Raw genomic sequence first — 26343 nt, 5'->3', positions numbered from 1 at the left:
ACCTGAGATCAGGGGTTCGAGACCAACCTGGCCAACATGGTGAAACCCCATCTCTGCTTAAAAAAATACAAAAATTAGCCAGGTGTGGTGGTGGGTGCCTGTAATCCCAGCTACTCGGGAGGCTGAGATGGGAGAATCACTTGAACCCAAGGGGTGGAGGTTGCAGTGAGCCGAGATGGTGCCACTGCACTCCAGCCTGGGTGACAGAGTGAAACTCCATCTCAAAAAATAAAAATAAAATAAAATAAGCAGTCAAGGTGGAAATGTACAGTTGTGCAGGCTGTGCACTGCCCAACTTCAGGGGACATTATTCACATAGAATGTGGTCTAAATGGTGCCTCCCCAACAACGCATGGCCTGTACCACCTTATGGTGGTGGCCCTTCAAGCAATTTTCTGAAAATGTGCTAAGTAATTGGTGACAGCAGATGTACTGAGCCATGGAAGCACCTGGCAACACCTCTTGACCTAATCTAGGTGGTTTCCTGGAGTAAATGACATTGCAGCCAAGACTTAATAATCAGCCTGAGTCAGGTATGCTAAAAGCAGGAAGAGTCATCTAGGCATCTTCTTCTAGTAGTTTCTCTTCTCAATCAGAGAAACTGCATATACCAAGGCCAAGGACCAGGGGTTCTGAGGCTGAGCTAACCACAGAACAAAGATAAGGGACATCTTGGCAGTTGAATTCTGCTGTTGATGTGGGAGTTTCATTTTTCTCGCTTGACAGACCCAGGTCAGCTGCACCCAAACTTTGTGGATTCCAAGCTGTTTTCTAACAAGGTCTCAGCAATGCTTTTCAATATAGTGCAGTTGATTCAAAAGCTTTGGCTAAACGTAACTTTCAGAGAAGATCCCCTCTCTTCAGACGGATGGTTCCAAAAGGTGGACTCCTATTCCTGCCACCCATCAACTTTATCAATTGTCAAGCATTTTGGTTCAGACAAACTCAATCTGATTATGACACTTCTCTGCTTAAAACCTTTTAATTAGTGCTTTAGGGATTAAAAAACAAAATGAAAGACATCTTGAGATAAAGTTCAAACTCCTTAGCCTGGCCTACAAGGTACAGTAATCTTCCAGAGGGCAGGGGTGATTTCTACATCATCACTTAGCCCAGTGGCTTACACGGAGTAACATTATGGAATGGATGGATGGATGGATGGATGGATGGATGGATGGATGGATGAACAGTCAGTCTTGCCCTGCCCACAATTTTCCCCTTCAATCTACTCCAATAAGAGATGACTCTCTTCCAGGCAGGGCATGTTCCTGTTAGGCCCTCAGTGTTCACAGGATATTGTCACTTCTCCCACAGCTGACTGACTGGTAAAGTTTTAGTCCCTGGCATTCTGAAATGGTGGCACTCCAGGCACAACCAACCAAAGTGTATCGTCTCAAAATGCCTGCAACCTGACACTTATCAAAACTTGGTTTATTACTCTAAAGGGAAAATCACAAAAGTATGAAAGGATGTATGCACAAAAAGATTTCCTGCAGCGCTGTTTATGTTTGGGAAAAATCAGAATGACCCAAATGTCCATGAATAGAGGGCAGGGCACATAAATTAAGGAATATACCACATGGTAGAATATGGAGCAACCTTAAAGTGGGGGAGGGGTCTATTGCATTCCATCAAATCTGCGATAACTTCATCTTTAAGATACATCATTATTTTATTTATTTTGTTTTTTGAGACACTCTGTCACCCAGGCTGGAGTGCAGTGGCACCATCTCGGCTCACTGCAACCTCCGCCTCTCGGGTTCAAGTGATTCTCCTGTCTCAGCCTCCCGTGTAGCTCAGATTGCAGTTGAGCGCCTCCATGCTGGGCTCATTTTTGTATTTTTAGTAGAGACGGGGTTTCACCATATTGGCCAGACTGGTCTGGAACCCTGGGCTCAAGTGATTCACTCACTTCAGCCTCCCGAAGTGCTGGGATTATTCTGAGCCACTGCACCGGGACAAGATACATCATTATTTTATGATAGTAAGAAAATGCTATCAATTAAATGACACAAGCTTTCTTATTCCCTTGAATTTTTATTTTCCACTAACTAGCTCTTTAAACATAGGCATATTTTTATTATATATTGCTCTTGTGCATACATGAAAACATATATAAGCATAATAAATTTGTTTGTATGTTCCTGAAAGTGCCTCTCATTTAGAGTCCAACCTTCCAGATGCTCATCAACTCAGAATCATCAGTGTCCATGGATTTCTATGCTATATTGTCCTCTCTGCCATCAAGAGAGTTTGGATGCTGACTTTTCAAAGAATACATTAAAAAGGTAAATCCATCAAGCTCCTGACTTTGCAGTTATGTAGGATTGGCCAACTTTGGACTTCGCAAATATTGATAAATCAGTTCGATTTCAATAAATCATCTCCCACACTCCTCCTTCAATAATTTTGCTTCTAAGGTTTAAAGAAAAATTCACCTCTTGCTCATGGCTTTTCTCCTAAGTCATTAGCATCCATTCTGAACCTTTTGATGTTTTTGTGAATGTGCCTGGAGCAACTGCTGCCTGGCCGGACACCATCACATGGATTGTAAGACGCAAATCAATTTCAGGCGTGCAAACGTTTTTTTTTTTTTTTATTAGGATCAATGAAATATTTAATATGTCTACAGCATGTTAAGGAGAGATAAAAAGCAAGTCTCAGAATAGCACATACAATAAGTACCTACATGTAATATGTATAAAAGTATGTATTACATCTATTTGTATCAGTATGAAAGGCATAAAGATGCCTAGAGGGATGTCCATCCAAACACTGTCAATAATCATGTCTAAGCCAGGCGCAGTGGCTCAAGGCTAGAATCTCAGCACTTTGGGAGGCTGAAGCAGGAGGATTGCTTAAGGGCCAGGAGTCTTTTTTTTTTTTTTTTTGAGACAGAGTCTTGCTCTATTGCCCAGGCTGGAGTGCAGTGGCGCAATCTTGGCTCACTGCAACCTCCGCCTCCCAGGTTCAAGCAATTCTCCTGCCTCAGCCTCCCAAGTAGCTGGGACTACAGGCCCATGCTGCCACACCCGGCTAATTTTTTGTATTTTAGTACAGAGGGGGTTTCACCATATTGCCCAGGCTGGTCTCGAACTCCTGAGCTCAGGCAATCTGCCCGCCTCGGCCTCCCAAAGTGCTAGGATTACAAGTGTGAGCCACCGCACCTGGAGGCCAGGAGTTTGAAACCAGCCTGGCCAAGCAAGACCCCATCTCTACAAAAGTTATAAATAAATAAATAAATAAATAAATAAATAAATTTGTTATTTTTACCAGATAGTGCACTTGGAATGATTATATTTTCTTTTTTGTATTTTTCTGTATATTTAGCACTTTTAAATTTTACTATAAATGTGTAGCATATTTTCAAAAGTAATAAATTTTTTTTAAGGAGAAGAGATAGTGTTTATGGAAAATTGCCCAAAACATATGGATTTCACTTGTTATCTATATAAGTCTACACTTAAGAACAAATTTTATGAGGTCTGTAATATCCCTAAAATTATACCCATACTTTTAATCTCCCTGTCACACTTAACATAAAATTTGAGCTCCTCCCCAGGATTTACACAACCTCATCCTGCCCACCGGGCTGATCTCACATGCCACCTGTGTTCTGCTGCCTCTCTCTACTCTCCACACATCCCTGCAGTCCCTAAACACACCAAACTAATTCTCCCCTGCCTCACATGAGCCTGACATTTAGGTGTCAGCTTAGCAAGGGAGGCCATTCCTGATCCCCTAACCTAAAGTAGGCTTCCCTTCATTCTCTCTCCCATAACCCTGTCTTGTTTCCTTTTGAGCACTAATTACTATCTGGGAGCCATCTCAGCTATGTCTTTGTTGCCTTGTTTGTAGTCTGTCTCTTCCCTGTGGGCAGGACCCCTGACTGTCATGGTAACTGTGAAATCCTCAGTGTGTGGGTTAGTTTGGCTCCTCAAAAAAGCAGGTGACAAAATGAGATCAGATGCAAAAGAGATTTACTGGGAGAAACACTGTGAAGAACCACAGGAGGTAGCAGGAGGAGGCAGGGAGAGCCTTCCCACCACAGTTCAGGTTGAACCCTATGAAGGGGGACAGGGAAAGAAGGGAGATCGGGTGGGAAGACTGTCAAACCGCAGTTCTAAGGCAGTTTCCTATAAGCCCATGGGATGTCCTCCAGCCAAAGTTGCCCATTTAAGGACTCTTGCATCCTGCAGTATTGGGTCAGCACTGTCACCTGGATCTACTGTGCTCCATCATTGGCAGGGACTGGGAGCAGCTCCAGGGATGGTGGCCTTGGTGCCAGTATGGCAGTGGACCCCGAATGGAGGGGACAGGGGCTCCCCACAGCAGGATACCTGAGCAGCCCATTTGCAAGGCTGCCATAGCCTGGAATAGAGTGAAATCTCTGCACACATTTGTTTTTAACAAATGAGTGAATGGAAAGTTTTCCAAAGTGGCCCACAACTCAAAAGAGGAACTACTACTCTAATATTCTCTCTGAGATAAGTTATATGCTCATACCACAGGATTTTTACTGTCACAGAGTTTCTTTTAATGAATTGGATGATAGTATTTTGACTTCAGCTTCCTTCGAATACTGATATAAGAAATATCTCCAAAGAATGCATTGCCTTTTGTCGTTTAAAAAGGCCATTGATGTACTTATCACTGTATCACCCAGTGCCTTCTTCATGAAGACCCAAGAGGAAAATATTCTTTCTAATCTCAGTACCAGGAAGAGTTATGCTTTATCTGGGTGACTGGGTTGTAAATTTATGTAATTGACAATGTGATCAGAGTTTGCTTTCTTTTTTTCTTTTTCTTGTATCTGTTTTGCGTATGCACCTGAAAGCTTGGAACCTAACTTGTAGTCCATTTTCAGCAAATGCCTAGGAACTCCTACAAATATTTCTGCATATTTCAACAAAATTGATTTTATTTTATTTTATCTTTAGAGACAGGGTCTCCCTCTGTCGCCCAAGTTGGAGTGCAGTGGCGCAATCATAGCTCACTGTAAACTTGAACTTTTGTGCTCAAGTGATCCTCCCCCTCAGCCTCGCAAGTAACTGGACCTACAGGTACCCACCACCACACCCAGCTAATCTTTATTTAAAAAAATGTTTTTAATAGAGACAGGGTCTCACTATGTTGCCAGGCTGGTTTCAGACTCCTGGCCTCCGGCAATCCTCCCACCTCGGCCTCCCAAACATTGGGATTACAGGCACGAGCCCCCTTGCCTGGCTCAAATATTGATTTTAGACCAGCCTTACTCGTGGGTTAATCCTATTTTCCTATCCTTAATTATTTTGCCCCAAGTTCACGACATACTTTTTTATACTTGATCTTCTTGTATTATATATATTTTAATAGGCCACTTTATATGCTTTGAAATATGGTGGGATCTGCATAAATTGTTTGTTGTTTAATGGTAAGCGTGGTACTATGGACCTGTGGTCTAGCCCCAGCCTTCAGCCTCACGTCCCACCCACCACTCCTCCCCAACCCTGTCCTGCTGCTCACAGCTTCCCTCTTATTCCCTCATTAGAGTCCTTACCACACTTTATTACAAAGATTCGTGTAGGGGTCTTGTCCACCCGGAAGCAGAGCATTTTTTGCAGCCCTACTGACTTAGCCATGTCAAAAAGTAAAATCTCTATTATGTCACCCAGTATCAACCTGAACCCTCTCCCTTCTTCCATCTTCAACACCCTCCACCGTTGATTGTGGAAAACTCTTTTTCCATTTTATTCATTTCTAAGTGGCTTGTAATTTTTATAGGTATAGTCTCTTTATCACTGGAGGAAAAAGGGATAAAGACATATTAAAAGCTATACCTGGGTTAATCTCTAAGAGATTTGAGACTTGTCCCTCCAACCATCATTTTAATAAAGCTTTAGAACATTAGCTAAGATGGAGCTCTACAACAGAGAATACTAAAAGAACAGTTAGACATTTATTTTAGTCTAGGGCTGAGAATGGAAGATCATATTATAGACAAATATTCACCCACACCAATTTCCTATATATATCTAATCAATAAGATAAACCAAGTAAGAAAGAATACCAAAAAAACAAGAATGTCCACATTAAAAATAGAATGGGTTCCATGACTAAACAGCTGAATCTCTTTATTACTAGAAAGTAAATGCATTTGACCACTGCAACATTAAAGAAAAATTCAGAGAATCTGATTGTGGACCAGTTGAGATTCATATGAAATCAAGAGAATGAGCAGACATCTTATTTAGAGTGATTGATGGCCCCTGCTGAGATGAGCAAGTGTGAAAAAACATATGCCACTTGGTTTTATGTGTTTTGGCTGCCAGATGGTGCCTAACCCCACCCCACTGCACCCCTGAACCACCCCTCACTCCCACCCATGTCAATCCCTGCCTCATCTGAAACTCTCTCTGGTGCCCGTAATCCACTCACCACCAGGACTGGAGTGGGGGTAGTGATGGGTGAGGCACAGGGATGAGGTTTAGATGTCCATTTTGCATATTACTGGGTAAAATAAAAAGTTTAAATTAGAATGATTTGTTTTCCAGGACACATGTTGATAGCATCTAAATGTCATCTACCTGTCTCTCCTACTAGAAGTTCACCTTTCTATTTCTATCACCAAGGCGGTTCCTGGAATAGAGTAGTTATGTAATAATGTTTATTGTATGAATGAATAAATAAATAAGCAAGTACATGATCAATTCATAATAACCCAGCAATAAAAGGGAATAAGGTGAATTTAGCATAAACTGGTCTCTGTGAATCCAGGCTTTCTTCCAGTGTCCATGGGTTATCTATGGAATAGGCTTGTAGAATTTGCTGGAAGATCCCATCAACCGTCTCATTTTGTTAGTTTTGAACCATACCCTTTTTGGTTCTTGGAGAGCTATGACATCACTTGCTTCACTCTGGTCTTTACTGCTCCTCTTTTTCAAAAGTTATCCCCAGTGGAATTGTGATCACATTTGCAGTCACTTTTCATTACCCAGATTATAGTTTGTCTGATTTTTACAGGCCAGACTCTCTTCAGGCTAAATACGCTTTTATTCATACTTGGAATCAAATCTTCTCATTAAAAAATGTATAATTTTATATTTTTACTATGAAAGTAATGTAACCATATTTCCCCCAAAAATTCACAAAATAGGGGTGAAGGGAGAAGAAAATTCACTCATAAGCCTAACACCAGGTTGAACGCAACCATGATTCAGATTTTGGTAAATTTCCTTCCAATGCTTTTTCCCAGAGAACTGTTTACATAGCTTCATGTGGTTGTGTTCACTATACATACATTTTTATTCCTTGATTTTGTTTAATCAGTCAAGAAAATATAAACTAATTATTTATAGAAAAATAGAAACTAATATTTATTTATTTTAACACTAATTATTCAGCAGAGAGAATTTGATTTTATGGAAAAGGAACCCTGAAATAAAACAGGCATAGTAACCCTAGGAAGCAACTCTCACCCCTGGGGCTGGAGGAAGAAAGGAAAGAAGTTGGGGTAATCGGAACCCAGAAGTGTGCAGGGGAGGGGTGTTGCAGAACTGGGGCCTGCGCTTCTGGGGAGGGGATGCCACCAGGGCTCAAGTTGACACTTCCAAGAGGAGGGGCGGTGAGGCTGGTTCTAGATGTGGCTACAAAGTTGGAGGCTGGAGCCAGTGCTGGTGAGACCAGCTGCTTGTCCAGAGGGAAGGGCCACGTGGGTATCTCTGCCAAGACAGGAAGCAGACAGAAAGGGGCATGTCCCTTTTCTGCATTCCTGCCTTCAATCTTCCTCTAGTGCCCTCTGTTGGTGGAATCAAACACGGAGCCAGCAGGCAAAGTAGAAATTTGATAGGCAAAGTTCCAGGTTGGGCACCCCAGAGCAACGTGGGTTCCAAGATGGAGACCACAGCTGAATAACCAGCCTATAGCTTGAGCTTTGTTTTCGTGTTACTACAAGCCCTACGTTTTGAGGGGCTGGGGAAAGGGAGGACAGGGGTCTTGCTCTTTTGCCCAGGCTGGAGTACAGTGGCACGATCATAGCTCGCTGCAGCCTCAAACTCCTGTGCTCAAGCCATCCTCCTGCCTCAGCCCCCAAAGTTGCTGGGACTACAGGTGCATGCCTCAACGCCTGGCTAATTTTTTTTTTTTTTTTTTTGTAGAGGTGGGGGTCTTATGATGTAGCCCAGGCTGGTCTCAAATTCCTGGCCTCAAGTGATCATCCTGCCTCAGCCTCCCAAAGTGTTGGGATTACAGGTGTGAGCCACTATGCCTGATCCACAGCTCACATTTTTCATGACCGTGCCATATTTTGCACAGTGTACTTCAGTTTTTAAACCATTTCCTTATTGTTAGATTCTCTAGTATATGGCCAAGACTTTGCTTTTGAAAATAAAAATCAATGGAAATCGTTGGGCACTTGTGTTGTTTTTTTTTTCTCACTCTTTCAGGGTAAGTTTTCAGAAGACTAATCTCTCAGTCAAAGGGCATGAAAAGTGTTATGACTTTTACTTGAGAATGCCAAATTGCCTTTCAAACCTGTTGTTTCCATTTCTGGTATCACCACCAGCATGGGAGAACAGAGGACGATGTTAAGAAAGTTAAACCCTGGGCTGGGCGCGGTGGCTCACGCCTGTAATCCCAGCACTTGGGAAGCTGAGGCGGGTGGATCACGAGGTCAGGAGTTCGAGACAAGCCTGACCAACATGGTGAAACTCCGTCTCTACTAAAAATACAAAAATTAGCCAGGCATGGTGGCATGTGCCTGTAATACCAGCTACTCAGGAGGCTGAGGCAGGAGAATAGCTTGAACCCGGGAGGCGGAGTTTGCAGCGAGCCGAGATCATGCCACTGCACTCCAGCCTGGGCGACAGAGCAAAATTAGTCTAAAAAAAAAAAAAAGAAAGAAAGTAACTTAAATCCCACCACATCTACAGACAATGCTGTACTCTTGTATGATTCCAGACATTGCCTTTAATCCCCAAAGCCTTCCACTTTGATTTTGTAAACAAATAGATAAACAGACAGACACTTTCTCTATATAGCTTACAGCAATTTAAGCCCTATGTCAACACTTTTGCTAACATTCTAGACTAGTGTGTAGTGATTTGATTTGCAAATTTTTTGGCATGCACCAGCTTTTTGATTTAGGCAACTCAGTTGAAGAAACTTCTTTTTCCTTTTTCTCTTCATCTTTAATTGTTCCTTCAGCTCATGCACCACAGGGGCTCAGCCCTCAATAAGAGCAGAAACTATGCAAAGGAGTCCAGGTCTTGGAATGATGGCCTGAATTCTCCTAAATCCGTAGGATTAACTACTGCAAGCTGGGATCCATCAGTTGGTGAGTTTGAAGATAAAAAATAAGGAGGTTAATTTAAATATAAAACTCATGATGAGCTATATTCAAAAGCAGGCTCACTTTTCCCAAAATGATTTAAGACAGCACAGGTAACTATCTCTGCTTTTGAATGTATTATTATTATTTTTTTAATTTTTTTTTATTTTTAATATTTAAAAAATATTTTATTTTATTATTTTTTATTTAAAATTTTTTATTTTCTTTTTAAAATATTTTTTATTTTTTAATTTTTTTTATTATTAATTTCTTATTTTTATTTTTAATATTTTTAATATTATTTTTAATTTTTTTTAAATATTTTTATTTTTAATTTTTAAAATTTTTAAAATTTTTTTTAATATTTAAAAAATAACCTTGTTACATTTGCTTTCTTAAGATATTAGTGATCTGGAAGACAGAAGTCTGTAAGGGATTCCTTAATGTCTTTGGATAGTGACATTTTAAAATATGTCCTGCATTAATTGTCCAGGAAAGGGTGGCAAACATAACATGGGAAAACAGGCCTACTCTGTGTGCATATGTGGGCGTGTGGGTACTAGGAAAAATTTATAAAATTTTATTCTTTATGATAGTTAATCTATATTACCATACAATGAAATATTATTTGATTCTAGACCTTTATAACGTTTTTTATTTTAGACATTTGTAATTTAACAGATGAGAAAAAATACATTTGAGTCTCATTATTTAAATCATGAAATATATATAAATATAGACCCACTATATATCTACACACATCATACCCACATGTATATATGAAGGGATTTGTATTCACAAACGATATTCCTTGGAGGGCTAGATTCTGTTAATAGATGACCATTTCCACTTCCTTTAATTAACTTTAATAAGACAGATTTCATGTAGCAGTTTGTTCTATTAAATCTAAGTCAACTCCTCTTGGCTCCCAAATTTATGATCTCTAATTTCAGCACAGCTCATATTTATCAAAACCATGAAAATGATGGCCTGAGTTTCATGGTGACTTATGGTGTGTTGTAAAGATATATTCTTTGTTTCATCCTTTGGCCCAGGGAGGTTCGGGGAGCTCTGCTGAGGGCTTTTCTTTTTCTCTCGAAAGGAATGGGAGAGAAGGGGAGAAGCTCAGGAGCAGCCTCTGCCTGCAGCCTCCATGTGGCCCATAGACTTCTCTCAGTGAGGGAGTGCGAGGGCATGAGGTGCAACTGTTATCATTTATGGCTCTTCCCAAGTGACAGGTTAGTTACCAACACAGCCTGGAGAGATGTGTCTATGGCCAGAATTGGATTTCAGGGCTGATGACCTTACTCCTTAAATAAATAGAGAAACATTTGGAGCCACTTTTGAGGGACAATCACGATTCTGCAAATATGTGGTGGAAAAGAAAGAAGGAGGGTGGGAGAAAATAGAATTAAGGTCCAGTGTAGTGGTCACAGTTATAATCCCAACTACTCAGGAGGCCAAGGCAGGAGAATCGCTTGAGGCCAGGAGTTTGAGACCAGCCTGGGCAACATAGCAAGACCCCATCTTTACAAAAAATTAAAAAATTTGGCAGGCATGGTGGTGCACACCTGTAGTCCTAGCTAATTGGGAGGCTTCAGCCTAGGAGTTCAAGGTTACAGTGAGCCATGGTTGCACTGCTGAACTTCAGCCTGGGTGATAGAGCAAGACCCTGTCTCTTTAAAAAAACAAAAAAGAAGAAGAAGAAAGAAAGAATTAATGACTTCACAGGCAAGCTCCTGGAATGGTCTGGAACATGCAGCAAATGCTACAGAGTAGAGCTCTTAGGAGAAGGTGAGTGGTGGAGAGGTGGGGAGGTGAAGGAGGAGCAGAGTAGAGGCAACAGAAGAATTCAGGAGAAAACACTACCTATGCTTGCAAAGAAGATGCTTGCAAAGAAGATACATTCTGGCGATGCACTTGTGTTGTCACAAATGTTGTCAGAGGCCAAGGTGATACAAGGAACCTAAGAATGCACTTTGGGATGAGAACAAAGGGAGGATTATGGCATTTTTAAAATTTCTAAATGCTAAGAAAATAGAATTGAATGAGTTAACATATGTAGGGTGTAAATATCCTCTGTTTGCTACTGTTATTAGAAGTAGCGTCATATGTGCCAGATAAGGAAAAGAGACGGGAGGAAGGGGAAAGGCTAAGATGTGAGGACCGAGGCTGGAGAGCAGGAGGAAAAGCTCCAGGTACTCAGCTGTGTTAGGTCACAGTGGGGGTCTGGGCCACAGGGAAAGTTGCTAAGAAAGTTGGCCAAATATGTGCAGGTTCTGAAAATAGGTTTTTGTTTGTTTGTTTCTGTCACCCAGGCCGAGTACAGTGGTTCGATCTCAGTTCACTTCAACCTCTACCTCCCATGTTCAAGCAATTCTTCTGCCTCAGCCTCCTGAGTAGTTGGGACTACAAGCATGCATCATCATGCCTCACTAATTTTTGTATTTTTAGTAAAGATGGGGTTTTGCCATATTGGTCAGGCTGGTCTCAAACTGCTGACCTCAAGCCATCTGCCCGCCTCGACTTCCCGAAGTGCTGGGATTACAGGCGTGAGCCGTTGTGCCCTGCCTGAAAATAGGTTTGACAGGGGCACCCAGGCAGCCCTGGGCTGATCTTCCTTCTGGATCTCTCTGGAGGAGGTAGGGCAGAGCCTAGCAATCTTTTCAGAGCATCCACTCATCATTCTAAAAGAAGAATCTATAATTCCACTGTCACCCAGCCCTCTCCTGCCTGCTGCCTCCTATCCTTTTCATTTGGGACCCCAACTTTTGTTCCACAATTGAAGATGAAATCTTAAAATGTAAATCCTGCGAATGGACAACATCTTGCCTAAAACTTACATTCACTGAATATAATGGATTCACCTGTATCTGTAATTCATTCTTATTAGAATTTGAGCAGGGCGGTGAAAAGTCTTGGCTTTGTTGTCCTACAGAATTGGATTTACTTCCCAGGCAGTTAAGTGACCTTGTGTAAGTTACTTAATCTTTATGAGCCTAATTTTCTTCATCCATAAAATGAGGTAATAATAATACTACGCTTAGGATTGTTGCAAGGATTGAATCACCTATTATATGTAAAGGAGTTAGTACATACTGTGAAGTTAGCATGTACTAAAGCTCAATGGGCATAGCTGTTGCAATGGTGGGCGGGTTGGAAAGCAGGACGACACTGACCACAGGAGGGGAAAGGGTTAAGGACACGATGAAGACCCCAGTTTGGCATGAGGCCAACCTGTCCAACTTCACTTTGTACAGCCAAACCCTTGGGATCTGTAGCAAACTTTGGTCACTGCATTATGTGATGCTTAACAATGTCACCCATGTGACTTATGAGGATAACTCATTTTGAAGGCGTTTTATCCCCAGAAGCATCCTCCACTGAGGTATGGAGGCCTAGAGAAGGGAAGGTGTTATGGTTTAAGTTTCAGGCCTGCTCAATTCAATCTCAAACTTCAAGATGTCTGCGTGAAGTTTCTGAAGAAATAGAAACCCCTTACTAACTCAGATAATTAAATGGTATAAATACCGCACCTTAGAAGACCTTAAGCGAGATCGTTTGCAGAAACCTCCAAGCTAGAGGGGGTATTCCCACTCTACAATGTTGGCACCTGTTGGAAAAGCCCCAGCATGTTCTCAGTGCTCCCAGCCTGCACGCCAAAATATTTGCCTCAGTCCATATCTTGCTGGTCATTTCCCTTCCTCACCTGTTCCTGATTGTCCAAGGCCATGGCCCTAGACCTGTTTCCTGACCCTCTGACCTGTGGACTTATACTGTTTCCATTGAGCTGAGCTCTAGCTTCCTTCCTTAGCTCCACTTTGGACTGCCCCTTGATCACATTGCTTCATGGTTGCTCCAAAATGGGGTCCAGCCTCTCCCCGGTACCAGTTCCCATGCCAGAGGGTGCTTCAGGTTTACTCTGCCTCCAGGAATGAACCCCAGACCCACATCATCTTTTATCCTGTAAGAACTGAATTTTAAGCCACTTGAAAAAAAACTAAGACTTGAGAATTTGGTCATTAATGAGAACATAAATATGGATCATATAGCTAGAAAGGGCATGTGTACATAAGAATTGACCTCTCTAGGCATGCACACAGTGAAAATTAGACCTCACTTATATATAATTAAAGAACAGTAACACAAAGTAGACCTTTGCATATGCATCAGTCAATCCAATATTCAGAGAGAAATTCGCTGTAATTGGTTGATTAGAAATGGGCAACATAAAGATGATGTTAATGACTTCCCATCAGCTCACGTGGTGTTCCAGCCATTCCTTGTAATGACATTCCAGACACCCTGTCCACATGCCAGGATATGCAATATTTTCTGAATACTGTTCTTTTTTACAGATGAGGAAAGTGAAGCTCACAGGTTAAATACTTGCCCAAGGTCACAACTTACAAATATTGGAGCTGGAATTTGAACCTAGGTAATCTAGCTCCAAATTCCATGTTCTCCACATATCCATGATGCTACCTCTCTAAAGAAGGATTTCATTCAAACATCCTGTAAGTATAATTATTTTTACATATTTGCTTGCTTTATAGGATTCTTCAAGCTGGGGGTGAATTTACTGGACAAGTGGTGCTGCCTTATTCAACATGGTCATTGACTATTTTCAAATGCTAGTAGAATAAAGTGTTAAGGAACACTTCAGAAATACAAGGAATCCAGGCTTAGCACTTGCAAGCTAAGGAAGAGTATAATTTATATCAAATGTTCAATAGTTTCAGGGTTCTAACCTCTTATTCATATTTGGGCAACTAGGTAGAAAAACCTAGAATTATCTATCCCTGGATAGATCATTACCAGATAATTACCTATTACCTAGATAATTACCTATTACTAGAACCTTCAATCACTGGATTTTTTTAACCTATTTTCATAAAGAGGTCACTATCAACAAAATACTCTGAGAACCTGAGTTCTCTCTCTCTCTTTTTTAGAGCAACTTCTAGTGGCTGTCTTGGGTTAGTATTGTTTAGATGCAGTCTTCTCTATCCAAATGATTGTTAAAGTGAGGACTTGAGTTTCTCCCACAGTTTCCATTTTGTTATTTGGACTGTGTTTAACAAGTCAGGAAAGTGGACATGCATGCTCGATAGGTTCCAAAAAGCACTGGCTCTGAAACAAAAAATCAAGAACACTGTATTCCCTGAAATTTCTGATCAAATACAGTTTCACTCTTGATCCAAATGTATTATATTTTATTAGTAAAATTAATGAGAAAAACATGTGTGTACCTACTCTACATTCAGTGTTCTATGGACATAGGTTTCCATGGGTGTCACTTTCATGACACTGTTCAATAGCTATTAAGGATCTCACAAGTTAGGAACACTCAGTTAAGTGTAAGGTCAATTGAATTCTAATATCTCTTGAGCCCCATTCATTGCAAGACTTGGCCAGGCAAGGTGATATGAGTGAATCAAAACTATTTAAGACACGATATAGGTGACTACAACATAAGCAAAGCAAAGGGACACAACACCAGAAAACTCAGAAATACGTAATGCAGGTGTGGTAAAAACCTGGTGACGCACGACCACACCCATTCCCACATCCATGACAGACATTATCAATCAATCGCAGCACTCTTTCCATGAGCCCAGAGTTAGCCTTGAGGAATGATACTGCACCTAATATCTCTCTCATTCACTTGCTTTTCCTTCTTGAATAAGACAAAATGAGTAGAGTTATGAAACTATACCTCGGAGAGTTAAAGAAACCAATGATTAACAGAAATTCTTGAGCTTGCAGGATGACAGATTTTAAAAAGCACAACTTATTAAAATGCTGAAACTCTCTCCACTTGTAAGATAACAAAACTGGCTAAAATTGGTTGGGACCAATATGGCTGACTGGAGTTTGTGTAGAATTAGCTTGCTGATGTCATAGCCTGAATTTCCACCATGTGTTTCATACCAACTCCCCCTGGATTTGCGCATGGGACCCATGAGGAGGCATGAAGAGAGATAATTGTGCATGCCCAAGAACTTTCCAAATCTCCTCTTTCCTTCCACCAGTCACCTTCTAATCCTGAAATCCATCCCCTAAACATTTTCTAATAAAATTACTGCCTGAAAGCCAGGACAGGGAGACAGATTCGAGATGGTCTCCTGTCTCCTTGTGAATTGACTTGCAATAAAAAGCAATTGCAATAAAAAAGCAATTACAATAAAAAAGTCTTCTTTTTTCAAAAACTTGGCGTTGTTGTATTGGCTTCTAGTGAATCAGGAAGCAAGCCCCTTTTCCTCACTCACACTTCTAGCTATCAAGCTGGGAACACCCACTGGATCATGTATGTAAACATCAACTGTCACTGGTGTCACAGTAATGAAAAAAATAGAGGCCTTTTGTGGGGCTCTGTTTTTAAGTATCTATGGTTTTCACATTATTCATTTAAAAAATTGTGGTGCATTCATTTGCACAATTTTGGATCTTTATTATTAGTAAGAAATTACTGCATTCCTCACTACACATTCCAACACACCAGTTTGTTGAGACACCTCCCTTAAGAACAGCTGCTCTAGAGGCTTAAACTCCAAAGACCATTCCAGACCAAGGTGAAAGAACAAGTGAACTAAAAAAAAACTCCACCACAACACATTGAGAAGGGACCAACCCTATCCAAAGCAAATTATTCCCTTCCCCTCCACATTCCTGAGCAGCTATGCATGTTCTTCCTACACTTAGATGCTTACAATTCTTGGTCAAGAAGTCAATTATGACACGTAAGAGCCAAGACGTTGGTTTTTTTCTTTATGGACACCCCTCCTGAAATGTGAGTAACAAGGTGTGGCTGTCCTTACTGACAGCATCCTGTGTTCTCACCCTGCGCCAGTCTTGGCGAGTCTCAGAGCATTTCTCTTCCTCTCCAAGAGAAAATCTATTCCAGGAGGCATCAGTGAGAAGTAAGAGACTTCACTGAAGATTCTTTAGGGTGGAGTCGGCTTTATCTCCAGCACCTAAAACATACACTGGCTCACCAAAGGGGCATAGCAAGGAATAAATGAATGAATGGAAAATCAATAAAAGTCCTCATTGCACCTGTGGGTCTGTTTTGCCACCATGTTGACTAACCCAAATTCTGAGAATGCCTCTAAGATTTCTTTTTTTCTCTTTTTAGAGACAGAGTCTCACGCTGTTGCCAAGGCTGAAGTGCAGTGGTGTGATCACAGTTTACTGTAGTCTCAGACTCCCAGGCTCAAGGAATCTTCCCACCTCAGCCTCCCTAGTAGCTGGGACTACAGGCATGGGCCACTGCACCTGGCTGATTTTTTAAAACTTTTTGTGAAGACAAGGTCTCACTATGTTGTCCCTGCTGGTGTCGAAGTCCTGGCCTCAAACAATCCTCCCACTTCGGCCTTCCAAAGCACTGGAATTACAGGCATGAGCCACTGCACCTAGCCTGCCTCTAGGATTTCTACTTTCACATATACTTCCTGTAAATCCTGCCCTTAGGTCAAAATAACCATGCTGTTATCATAAACACACACTTACCATAAATCCTGCCCTTAGGCAAATTCCCTATAGTATATAAGCCCTGGGTCTGCGGGGTAACCGTGCAGTGATCCACCATCTCATGGCCGCCTGAGACATGGCTTCTGTTCTTAAGTCCCTGTTAAATATTTCTCTCTGAGAAACTGGATTTATCACCCTCTTTCTTCAGCTTCTCAGCTCCCTGGGCCTTTGGGGTAGGTTTGCACAGACCTGCTCATCCAGGAACACCCTCCTGGAGCCTCATCTCATTCCCTTTCTTTCCCGTTTACAGCTCCTCTATGTGGGTCCTTCCTGATTCCAGGGTCTCCCCTCACCACCCTGCCATCCGATACCCCCCTCTCCTCTGCAGAGCTCTCCCCAGAGATTCCTCCAATCTGTCATCTTCATCCCCAGCACTTCACTCTGCAAACAGCCCTCTTAATTTTGGGGCCAGTTTTTTTTTTTAACTATTTTCTTTTATTTCAAACATTTTTGAGGTACAAATTGTTTTTGGTTACATAGATGAGTTGTATAGTGGTGAAGTCTGAGATTTTAGTGCACTGAGGGCCCTCTTGAGACTCCCCGCTTCCTTTGAAAGCAGCAAGAGATTGTAAATAACAAAGTACTTTTCCTCTCACAAATAAAACTTTCCTGTCACTTGTATATTTGTCATTGTTCTGCTTCCAATAAGCAGCCATCTCTTAAAGGGCAAGGGATCTTATCTGTTGAAATCCAATGTGATCTGTGTCATTTGTGGATGTGGAGGGAAGACGGCTATTAATGTAATACTCTGCATCGAGCAGGCTCTTTATGTTTTTGGACTCTCAGAACAACATGAAAACCTCAGAAATATCAATATGGTATCAAATGGAATGTGTTGCAATTAGAAGGAATTAAATTCTTTCCTTGTTTCCCCATAGACAGGGTCCTCTTAGAAGTAGGATATCATGAACTTCGAGCAAAGAAAACATGAGTTTTCTGAAGACAATAATCTAACAAACACAAACACATTAACTTAGGCAGACTTCACAAAGTTTCCTTAATTCTTTCCAGTAACAGGCAAAGAGAAAGAATTCCTATTTTGCTAGCTCCTTCGTTCTTTTCTCCTACCTCTTCTAAACTTTCCCTATCCCTTGTACCTTTTCCATATCTACCCTACACACATGCGCACGCACACACACACACACACACACACACACACACACACACACAGAAACATAGAGAAGGTATGTTAAGATTACCTGGTAGAGTACTCAACAAGAGTCAAAATTGTATGATTTATGGCTGAAAATCTATTTTTCTCTAACAATTTTCTCCTTTAAAAACCAGTTCCAATAGCTCGGCTTCTTCTCAAATGCACTTTCTGCGGTAATATTTTATATCTCCACTCCCTTCCCTGGAACTTCATTTTTATTTGATTTTATTGACGCTGCTCTATTGGAATGTGTATCGCTTGAGCCCCCATGGAGAACTGAGCAGGTGTGAGTAAAGCAAAACATCTTTTGTTAATAGAAGTTCACCCTGGGAGTTCATGGAGATGCGTAATTTCAATTGCTTTTATGAAAATTCTGTAAATTCCTGTGTTGTGAATTTTGAACAGAGCTTAGGAGACCAACAGTCTTTAATACAAGCCAAAGACATGCTTATTTCTATAACTGAAATAAATGTTCTGCTTACTTTCTTCCAAAAAAATAAATGCAGGTATTTAATTGGAATGTTTAAGCTGTAGAAAATCATATTAACTTTGAGTCTGGCTCTTGGAGCCAAAATGGAGATCTCACTGTGATCAGCCTACAGGAAGATGACTTTGGTTTTCCTGCGTAACTTCTTGAAGCATGAAGAAGAGCTTACCCCACTTTCATGTGGGGTCGAGAATGACTTCACAACTGCATTGTCCATTCCCTGCTCAAGTCTTTGTACATATTTATATTTAAAAACCTAGAGAATGTGAACAGCATCCCCCAACCTCTCAGCTTGAGGGGGTGTTGTATTATTATAATTCTCTCTGTGTGTCTAGCCCTCTTGGATTCACTGCCACAGAGACTCTGGGGGTGAGGTTAAGCCTAGCTTTCTTCCTGGTTTGGGGCCAGACATGTATGGTGTTGCACTCTCCTAAGCTGGAAGGAAAGACGTAAGCTTGGTATATTATAAAATTGCATGTGTCATTAGCAAAAGATGTCAGAATGCTTTATTTAAAACTTTGTTTTCTCAGGTTGTGTTGCCCAAGTGTATCTTGGCATAGACAACTTCAGCTTCAAAAATTCCAAGACGTATAAAGAGTTTCACATAGCTGAGGCTATTATAGTTGGTTATATGCCACTAACACCTTTTCCCCCTTCTTTCTTACTGAGTGAAGTGATGACTGCATTTCTACTAAAAATTTCATTCTCTTCTCCTGGCAACCACAGGGTCTATTCTTGATGGGATCATTTATCTGTTCCAAAAAGAAAAATGTGGCATTTGCTATGGTGTGGGATCTTTGAGGGTTTCTTAGATAAAGCCTTTAGAGTAAAAGCTTTCACTATTCTAGGACAACTTTCAGAAGAATTATCTAGCAGCCTGCCCTGGTAAACTTGCCAAATTGCTCGTACTTGGCTAGAAACCATGGGCAATCTAAGGTCCATCTTCCCCCTGTAGAGCAATAGAGTGTCTTTGGCTAGGAGCTAAGCATACTCATTTGATGTTTGGGAGAGTTTTTCAACCTGAAGATAAATTCCTTTAAAGGATTTGTTTTAACTGACAATTAGACAGCTTCATATCTACTTATGCTGAAATGAAGGTCACCTATAGAGAAGAAGAGAGATGCCTTTTTAAACATATTCCCTCGTGGTTTCTGATGCTACCTGGCAACTGGGTGGTGAACTAACAAGGGCTCAGAGTATTTTACCCTCCTACTTCTCCCATCAGACTCTTACAGAGCATTGCTATTCTTTTTTAAGTGTAAAGAACTTGAGGATGTTCCAGTACAGCCCAGAAACTTCTTTGGGAACACAGTCCTTATGGTCAGGGACTAAGTCTAGTCTCCCAGGAAGGTCCCAGCCTATGCTGATGACCTCAGCACATACCAATGGAACCCGACTGGACTGAGTGTACTCACATCTGTCCCCAGAAACCTTGCTTTATTTCCACAGCTACATTACCTCAGCCCTTCAAAGTTGCCACAAGCAATGTTGGAATTTAATGTCGGTCCCCTTGGCCACAGTGAGTAAGAACAGTTGCTGAAAAATAGCAAATGGGTGTGGAAAAATTAAGCGGGGGGATATTCAATAATCAGAGGGTGCATGAAATCAACAGAGTAAGAGATGTGCCATGATGCTCTCAAAAGTGCTGAAGCCATCCTGCCACCAATACTGACTGCAAGTGTCTTGGGACTGAAATATACCACTAAAATGGTATGATCCTTAAGAGAGGCTATGCGGTGAATGGGGCTGTATGAAATAGCAGGAAGTGATTCATAGGCTCAGGTGTGCCTGGCACACGACTCCCCCAAGTCACCTGCTCACCTGCCCAGCCAGAGTTCAGTGAATGCAGGCATATAATGGAAAAGATGGGCAGGGTGGTGAGAGTTACGGAACCTGAGTTCAAGGTGCTGCATGGGTCCCAAGCCTTTAGGTAAGTCATTTTCATTCTCAAAGCCTCATTTCTCACTAGCAAAATGAGAGGTCTGGACTGTCCAGCATCCAGCTTTTTGGTCCCAGAATAGAATCTTCCTGCACATGTTTGCATAGTGGTACTGCCCATGACCCGACTATCTCTTTCATGCCCAGCAGGTCATGCAAAGGGAGCAGCAGTGATCTGTTAAGTTCAATAAGTATAGTGGGCTTCTGGGAGGAAGGTATCAGGGAGCCAGAACTTTAAAGAGGACACCCACATGGGGCAGAACAGCCAAGACCAGCTGCTGGCTTCACCTTCTACCCAGGAAAGGAAGAGATTAGTTCTGACATCTCATTTCTCTGGCAACTCAGCTGCAGGAAACAGCACACCTAACCACCCAGATCCTGTGCTAGTGAGGAGCGGGTGTTTTTCAGCTGTGTCCTTACAACACCCTTCCAGCTCATGCCTCACCTCCCTGTTGGCCACAGAAATTCTGAGTTAAATTATTTTACTGTAACATGAATGCAATCCTGTAGGTAAGCAGGTTCACATTTATACCTCATTCCCATGCAGCAAAATAGCGATTGTGTGTCTCAGGGATATTATTATTGTAATAGGTTTATTCAATTACAGCACTATGGCTTGTTCTTGGATGTTGAGTATTCATAGTTCTTGAAAATAATTGGAATCTTGTTGTCATTTAACATCCAGGTACCCAAATTTCTAGATAATAAATAGTAAAACTGAAACCAGGCATTCTCCAATATTAATATGTAGAGGAATGTTAAAGTTTTGGAGTGTTTCTTAATATGCAGATTCCCGAGCCATGCCACCAAAAATCCTAGGTTAGAAGATCTGGAGGAGCCTGGGAGTTCGCACTGTAAATGGGTACACTAAGTGATCCCAAAATTGGTGGTGGGAGGAGACGCAGCTGGGGAGATACTGATCTCAGTCCCACCCCTCTGCCAGTTTCCCTTTCCCAGACGCCTGTCTCCTGTTTCAGACCTTAACTGGTTCCTCCTGAATCAGCCAAACAAGTCTCCTTCCTGTCTCCCATCTCCAAACTTAGTGAACATGGATTTCCTGGGCACCAAGTCTGAATTCACAAGCAAACATCACCCCACCTGACTCAAGAATGACCTCCCATGAGCCTGAGTTCTAGACTTTCCTGTTCCATCCTTTGGATTTCCCATTTGCCTGATCATTTGACTGCAGGGAGCTCAAATTAGTACGCTGAGTGTTTCTACTTGCTACATTATATTTCATCACCCTAATATTTCTCCTGGAAAATGCCTTTCAGTTCTAGCATGGGATTCTAGACTCTTTTCTCCCCCAGGAAAAGGCTTTAGAGACTCCTTGGTCTCTCCACACTTCCTAGACATGGGAGTAGGATGTCTCACTCCCAGAACCTAGTGAGCAGGTCCGAGAGAAGAAACTTCCCCAGGGATGGGGGCAGGGTTGTTGCAGGGGCGCGGCCTCCAGATGGCCTCCCCTGGGCTGCTTTTCTGCCTTGGGTCCATTAATTCATTTTCTTCCAAGAATTCTTGGGCTTGTCCCATTGCTTTGATTTCCACTGAACCCACCTGTTTCTTGGGATCAAGGTTTCCTTCCTTCTCTGGCTCCTAAGCCTTGGGATCAGCCATAAATACCCTCCTACTCTCTGACTCCTGAAGTAAGCCACAATCCTTTAATCCTTTTGAAGTTGGAAACAGCTGGAAACAGGCTGAGGGTAAAAAGAGCAAACAGAGACCCATGGATGTTAAGTACAAAGTCTCCCTGGCCACTCTGTTCCATCAGACATATCTCCATGTAACTGAAGCCTGAGGTCAGGGTGCTTCCCGGGACACCCCGCCTTCTTGGGAGCCCCTCACAAATCCCCTCTCCCTGAATCCCAGACTTGTCTTCCTCTACCGGTCTCTCTCTCTCTCTCTTCAGTAGTCCTTCTCCTGATTTCATTATGTTATTTATTTCATTTCATGCTTCCCTCCACCTGCCCCACCTCCACAGGAGAGAAGAAAATTGGAACGGCACTATTGATAGGCCTCCAAAAGATCCCAAGAAAGATCCCTTTACCTTGTAGAGAAGCAGACTGTTCTCCCAGTATCAACTTCTTTTTGTTTTAAACCCAAAAAAGTCCACATTCTCTTCCTCCCGGGAACCAGGGCTGGCACAAAAGCATGATAGGACTTTTGGAGCTGGCATCTGAGAGGCACTGGAGAACTGGCGGGTGATGGCACCCACTGGCACTCGACCAGGAAGCGACATTTTTGTCTGTCCACCATGCTGCCCTTCCTCTCTGTTTCATGTCACAGAACACTTTCCCACAGATGGTCTCTCTGAATTAATATCTCTGTCCCTGCCTGAGGGGAGGTTCATCTGGCTCATTCAGGGGTTCACCATGAGCCCACAGAAGGAAGTCACATCCACATCCACCTATGTAGCCATTCTGGCTGCAAAAGTAACATTTGCCAAGGCTGTTCCATGTAGCCATTCCATGGGCAGCCTCAGGAGCTGAAAGCCTGGGTTCAAAGCCCAATTCAACACTCATACAACCCTCAGCAAGCCGTTGAAATAAATTCTCTTTGCCTCTGTTTCCTCATCTGTAAAAGTGGAGCAGTAAAAACCACCTTATAAGGATTGCTGTGAGAATTAAGTGGGTTAACCCATAAAAGGCACTTAGAACACTGCAAGGTATTCATCGTTGACCTCAGTTCTTTAAGTATAAACCCCTCCTATTACTAGTTCACCTCCACCTATCTGCCTTCTTTGCTTACTCCTCGGCTCCCTCAAAAATCGCCAGTTCAATCCAAGTTGTAACCTTTTCCAGACAGTCAAAAGCAACATGTTTCCTAGTAAGTTGCTTTGGAATTTTTCTAAACATGTATAGAAATTTTAACACCTTTTTGATCACATTAGATAACCTAAATGCAAATTCACTCACATACAATTGATCAATAGGTAATGAGGTTAGGAGAACCAGGAAATTGTTTTGGTTCATGATCTTTCTCTAGGAAAGGGGTGTCATTCTAGCAGCAATAGAATTGTAACCTTCATCAGCAAGAGTAAAAGAAAACCCAGATTGATTACCACACTGGCACCTATAAACAATTATTATTATTTTTGCTTTAAGTTCTGGGATACACGTGCTGAATGTGCAGGTTTGTTATGTAGATATACATGGGCCATGGTGGTTTGCTGCACCTATCAACCCGTCATCTAGGTTTTAAGCCCCACATGCATTAGGTATTTGTCCTAATGCTCTCCCTCCCTTTGCCCCCCAATCCCCAAAAGGCCCCAGTGTGTGATGTCTCCCTCCCTGTTTCCATGTGTTCTCATTGTTCAACTCCCATTTATGAGTGAGAACATGCAGTGTTTGGTTTTCTATTCCTGTGTTAGTTTGCTGAGAATGATGGCTTCCAGTTTCATCCATGTCCCTGCAAAGGACATGAACTCGTTCTTTTTTATGGCTGCATAGTATTCCATGGTATATATGTGCCACATTTTCTTTATCCAGTCTATCATTGACGGGCATTTGGGTTGATTCCAAGTCTTTGCTATTGTAAATAGTGCTGCAATAAATATGCATGTGCATCTGTCTTTATAGTAGAATGATTTATAATCCTTTGGATATATACCCAGTAATGGGATTGCTAGGTAAACGGTTATTTTTAAGCAAATAAACAATGCTGGCCTCTGGGGCACCCTCTGTAGAGAAGTGAAGCCCAGCCTGTGCTGTGAGGCTCTCTTCTTGTGGCAGATAGATGCCTCGGGACCCACCCTACCAGCAGCCCAGAGCCTCCTTCACCTGCCCCATTGATTCTCATGTAAATGTGGCCAGCATAGCCACTCTATTGCTACATGGTGGCATTTTCTAGCTGCACTGAGCCGTCTATCTGGGCTCTTAAGGTTATTGTTCCTGGAATCAACCAATTTTTGTTTTTATACTGCTCTGGTTACAAAGTTGCATAGTTTCGAGTGGCCTGCTCCAACCATAATTTTTCCTAAATTTTGTTACTTTAGTACACGGTTTTGCAGAGCACAAGGTTTTGTAAGAAAACACATATCAAGTTAAAGCAGAAACACCTGTATTATTATCCCTACTTTGAAGACATATCTCAGTGTATCCACATTTTCTTTGTAACTGGATTTCCAGTCCTTATGTTAAGTCTTGAAATTACCACAAAGAAAACTTATGGGCTCATTTGTTTGGAAATTAGATAGTGCTCTAATACTCTTTCACCCAGGTAGTATTGATCCAGTGCTGACTGATTTCTAAGATCAGTTGAAGATACTGTCTAGACTTCAGTTTTTGAGCTACATGATTTATTCAGAAACTGAGCATGCCCTCTCTCCCTCCCTTCCTCCTTCCTTCCTTCCTTCCTTCCTTCCTTTCTTCTGTCACTCTTGGAGAGGAGGGCTAATTTTATTAAAACCTATTTCTTGACAGCACAGTGGATCATGCCTGTAGTCCCAGCTACTTGGGAGGCTGAGGCAGGAGGATCACTTGAGCCCAGGAGTTCAAGGCTGCAGTGAACAGTGATGGCACCACCACACTCCAGCCTGGAAAACAGAGCAAGACCCCTTCTCTTAAAAAAAGTTTTTGTTTTTACCTGTTTCTTAGTGATTGTTTTATTTTCAGTGTTGTCAATATGATATATCATACTAAGAGAATAATTTATATTCCTTGAAAGAGAAATAAAGAAAAATGATATTGCATAATGTGAATTTAGAGAGATTACTTAGGTGTTCATTTGTTTGGATATTTCACATGTAAGGTCCCCATTACCTTGCCTTGTGATATGTGATTCATTTGCCCAAAATGATGATGACATCAAATCAAAAAACTTAACTGATGTTCATACAGAATATACCCCTTGCTCTGAAATCCATCCAGATCAAATCCTTGTTATGGCCAGGCTCAGTGGCTAACTCATGTAATCCCAGAACTTTGGGAGGTCGAGGTGGGTGGATCGCTTGAGGTCAGGAGTTTGTGACCAGCCTGGCCAACATGGTGAAACCCTGTCTCTACTAAAAATACAAAAATTAGCTGGGCATGGTGGCAGGTGCCTGTAATCCCAGCTACTCAGGAGGCTGAGGCAGGAGAATCGCTTGAACCCGAGAGGTGGAGGTTGCAGTGAGCTGGGATCGCACCACTGCACTCCAGCCTGGGCGACAGAGCAAGACTCCATCTCAGAAAAAAAGAAAAAAGAAAAAGAGAAAAAAAATCCTTGCTATGTTAGGTTGGTGCAAAAGTAATCACGGTTTTTGCTATTAAAAGCAAAATGGCAAAAACCGTGATTACTTTTGCGCTGACCTAATAACATTTACACTTACCATTTTCTTTACATTATTTAATTTAAAAATCATCTCAATATCAAATAAATTAGTAGCCTATGTTTATTAAATGCTTATCGTGTGCCAAGTCCTCTTCTTTTTTAAAAAATGCTTTTATTTCCATAGGCTATTGGGAAACAGGTAGTATTTGGTCATATGAGTAAGTTCTTCAGCAGTGATTTTGAGATTTTGGTGCACCCATCACCTGAATAGTATACAGTGAACCTGATTTGTAGTCTTTTATCCCTCACCCCCTTCCCACCCTTTCCCCCTGAGTCCCCAAAGTCCATTGTGTCATTCTTATGCCTTTACATCCTCACAGCTTAGCTCCCACTCATGAGTGAGAACATACTATGCTTGGTTTTCCGTTCCTGAGTTACTTCACTTAGAATAATAGTCTCCAATCCCATCCAGGTTGCTGCAAATGCCATTAATTCATTCCTTTTTAGGGCTGAGTAGTATTCCATCGTATATATATACATTCCAGTGGTAACTAATTTATCCTCAAATCGCCTCTTAGAAGGTAAGTGCTCAATTTTCAGGAAAGGAAACAGAAGCCCAGAGGGGCTAATGTGCCTAAGGTCAGGCAGCTAGTGTGTTGTGAAGCAGACACTGAC

The 26343-nt window shown here is 41.8% G+C and overlaps 1 long non-coding RNA gene across 3 annotated transcripts in view, besides 1 other annotated feature; it reads right to left on the bottom strand.

Moving 5' to 3' along the window:
- The window catches only part of LOC105376481 (uncharacterized), a 123422-nt gene that overhangs the window by 64256 nt on the left and 32823 nt on the right, over positions 1-26343 (bottom strand). The window lies entirely within an intron of this gene.
- Positions 318-507: an enhancer, noted in NCBI's record as "active region_3232". NCBI's record gives its function as "activates an Ori minimal core promoter by ATAC-STARR-seq in GM12878 lymphoblastoid cells {active_cell/tissue: GM12878}" and the evidence as "EXISTENCE:reporter gene assay evidence [ECO:0000049][PMID:35858748]".

The sequence above is a fragment of the Homo sapiens genome, chromosome 10, assembly GCF_000001405.40.
Source record: "Homo sapiens chromosome 10, GRCh38.p14 Primary Assembly".
NCBI lineage: Eukaryota > Metazoa > Chordata > Mammalia > Primates > Hominidae > Homo > Homo sapiens.
This window is presented reverse-complemented; position numbering and strand designations above follow the sequence as displayed.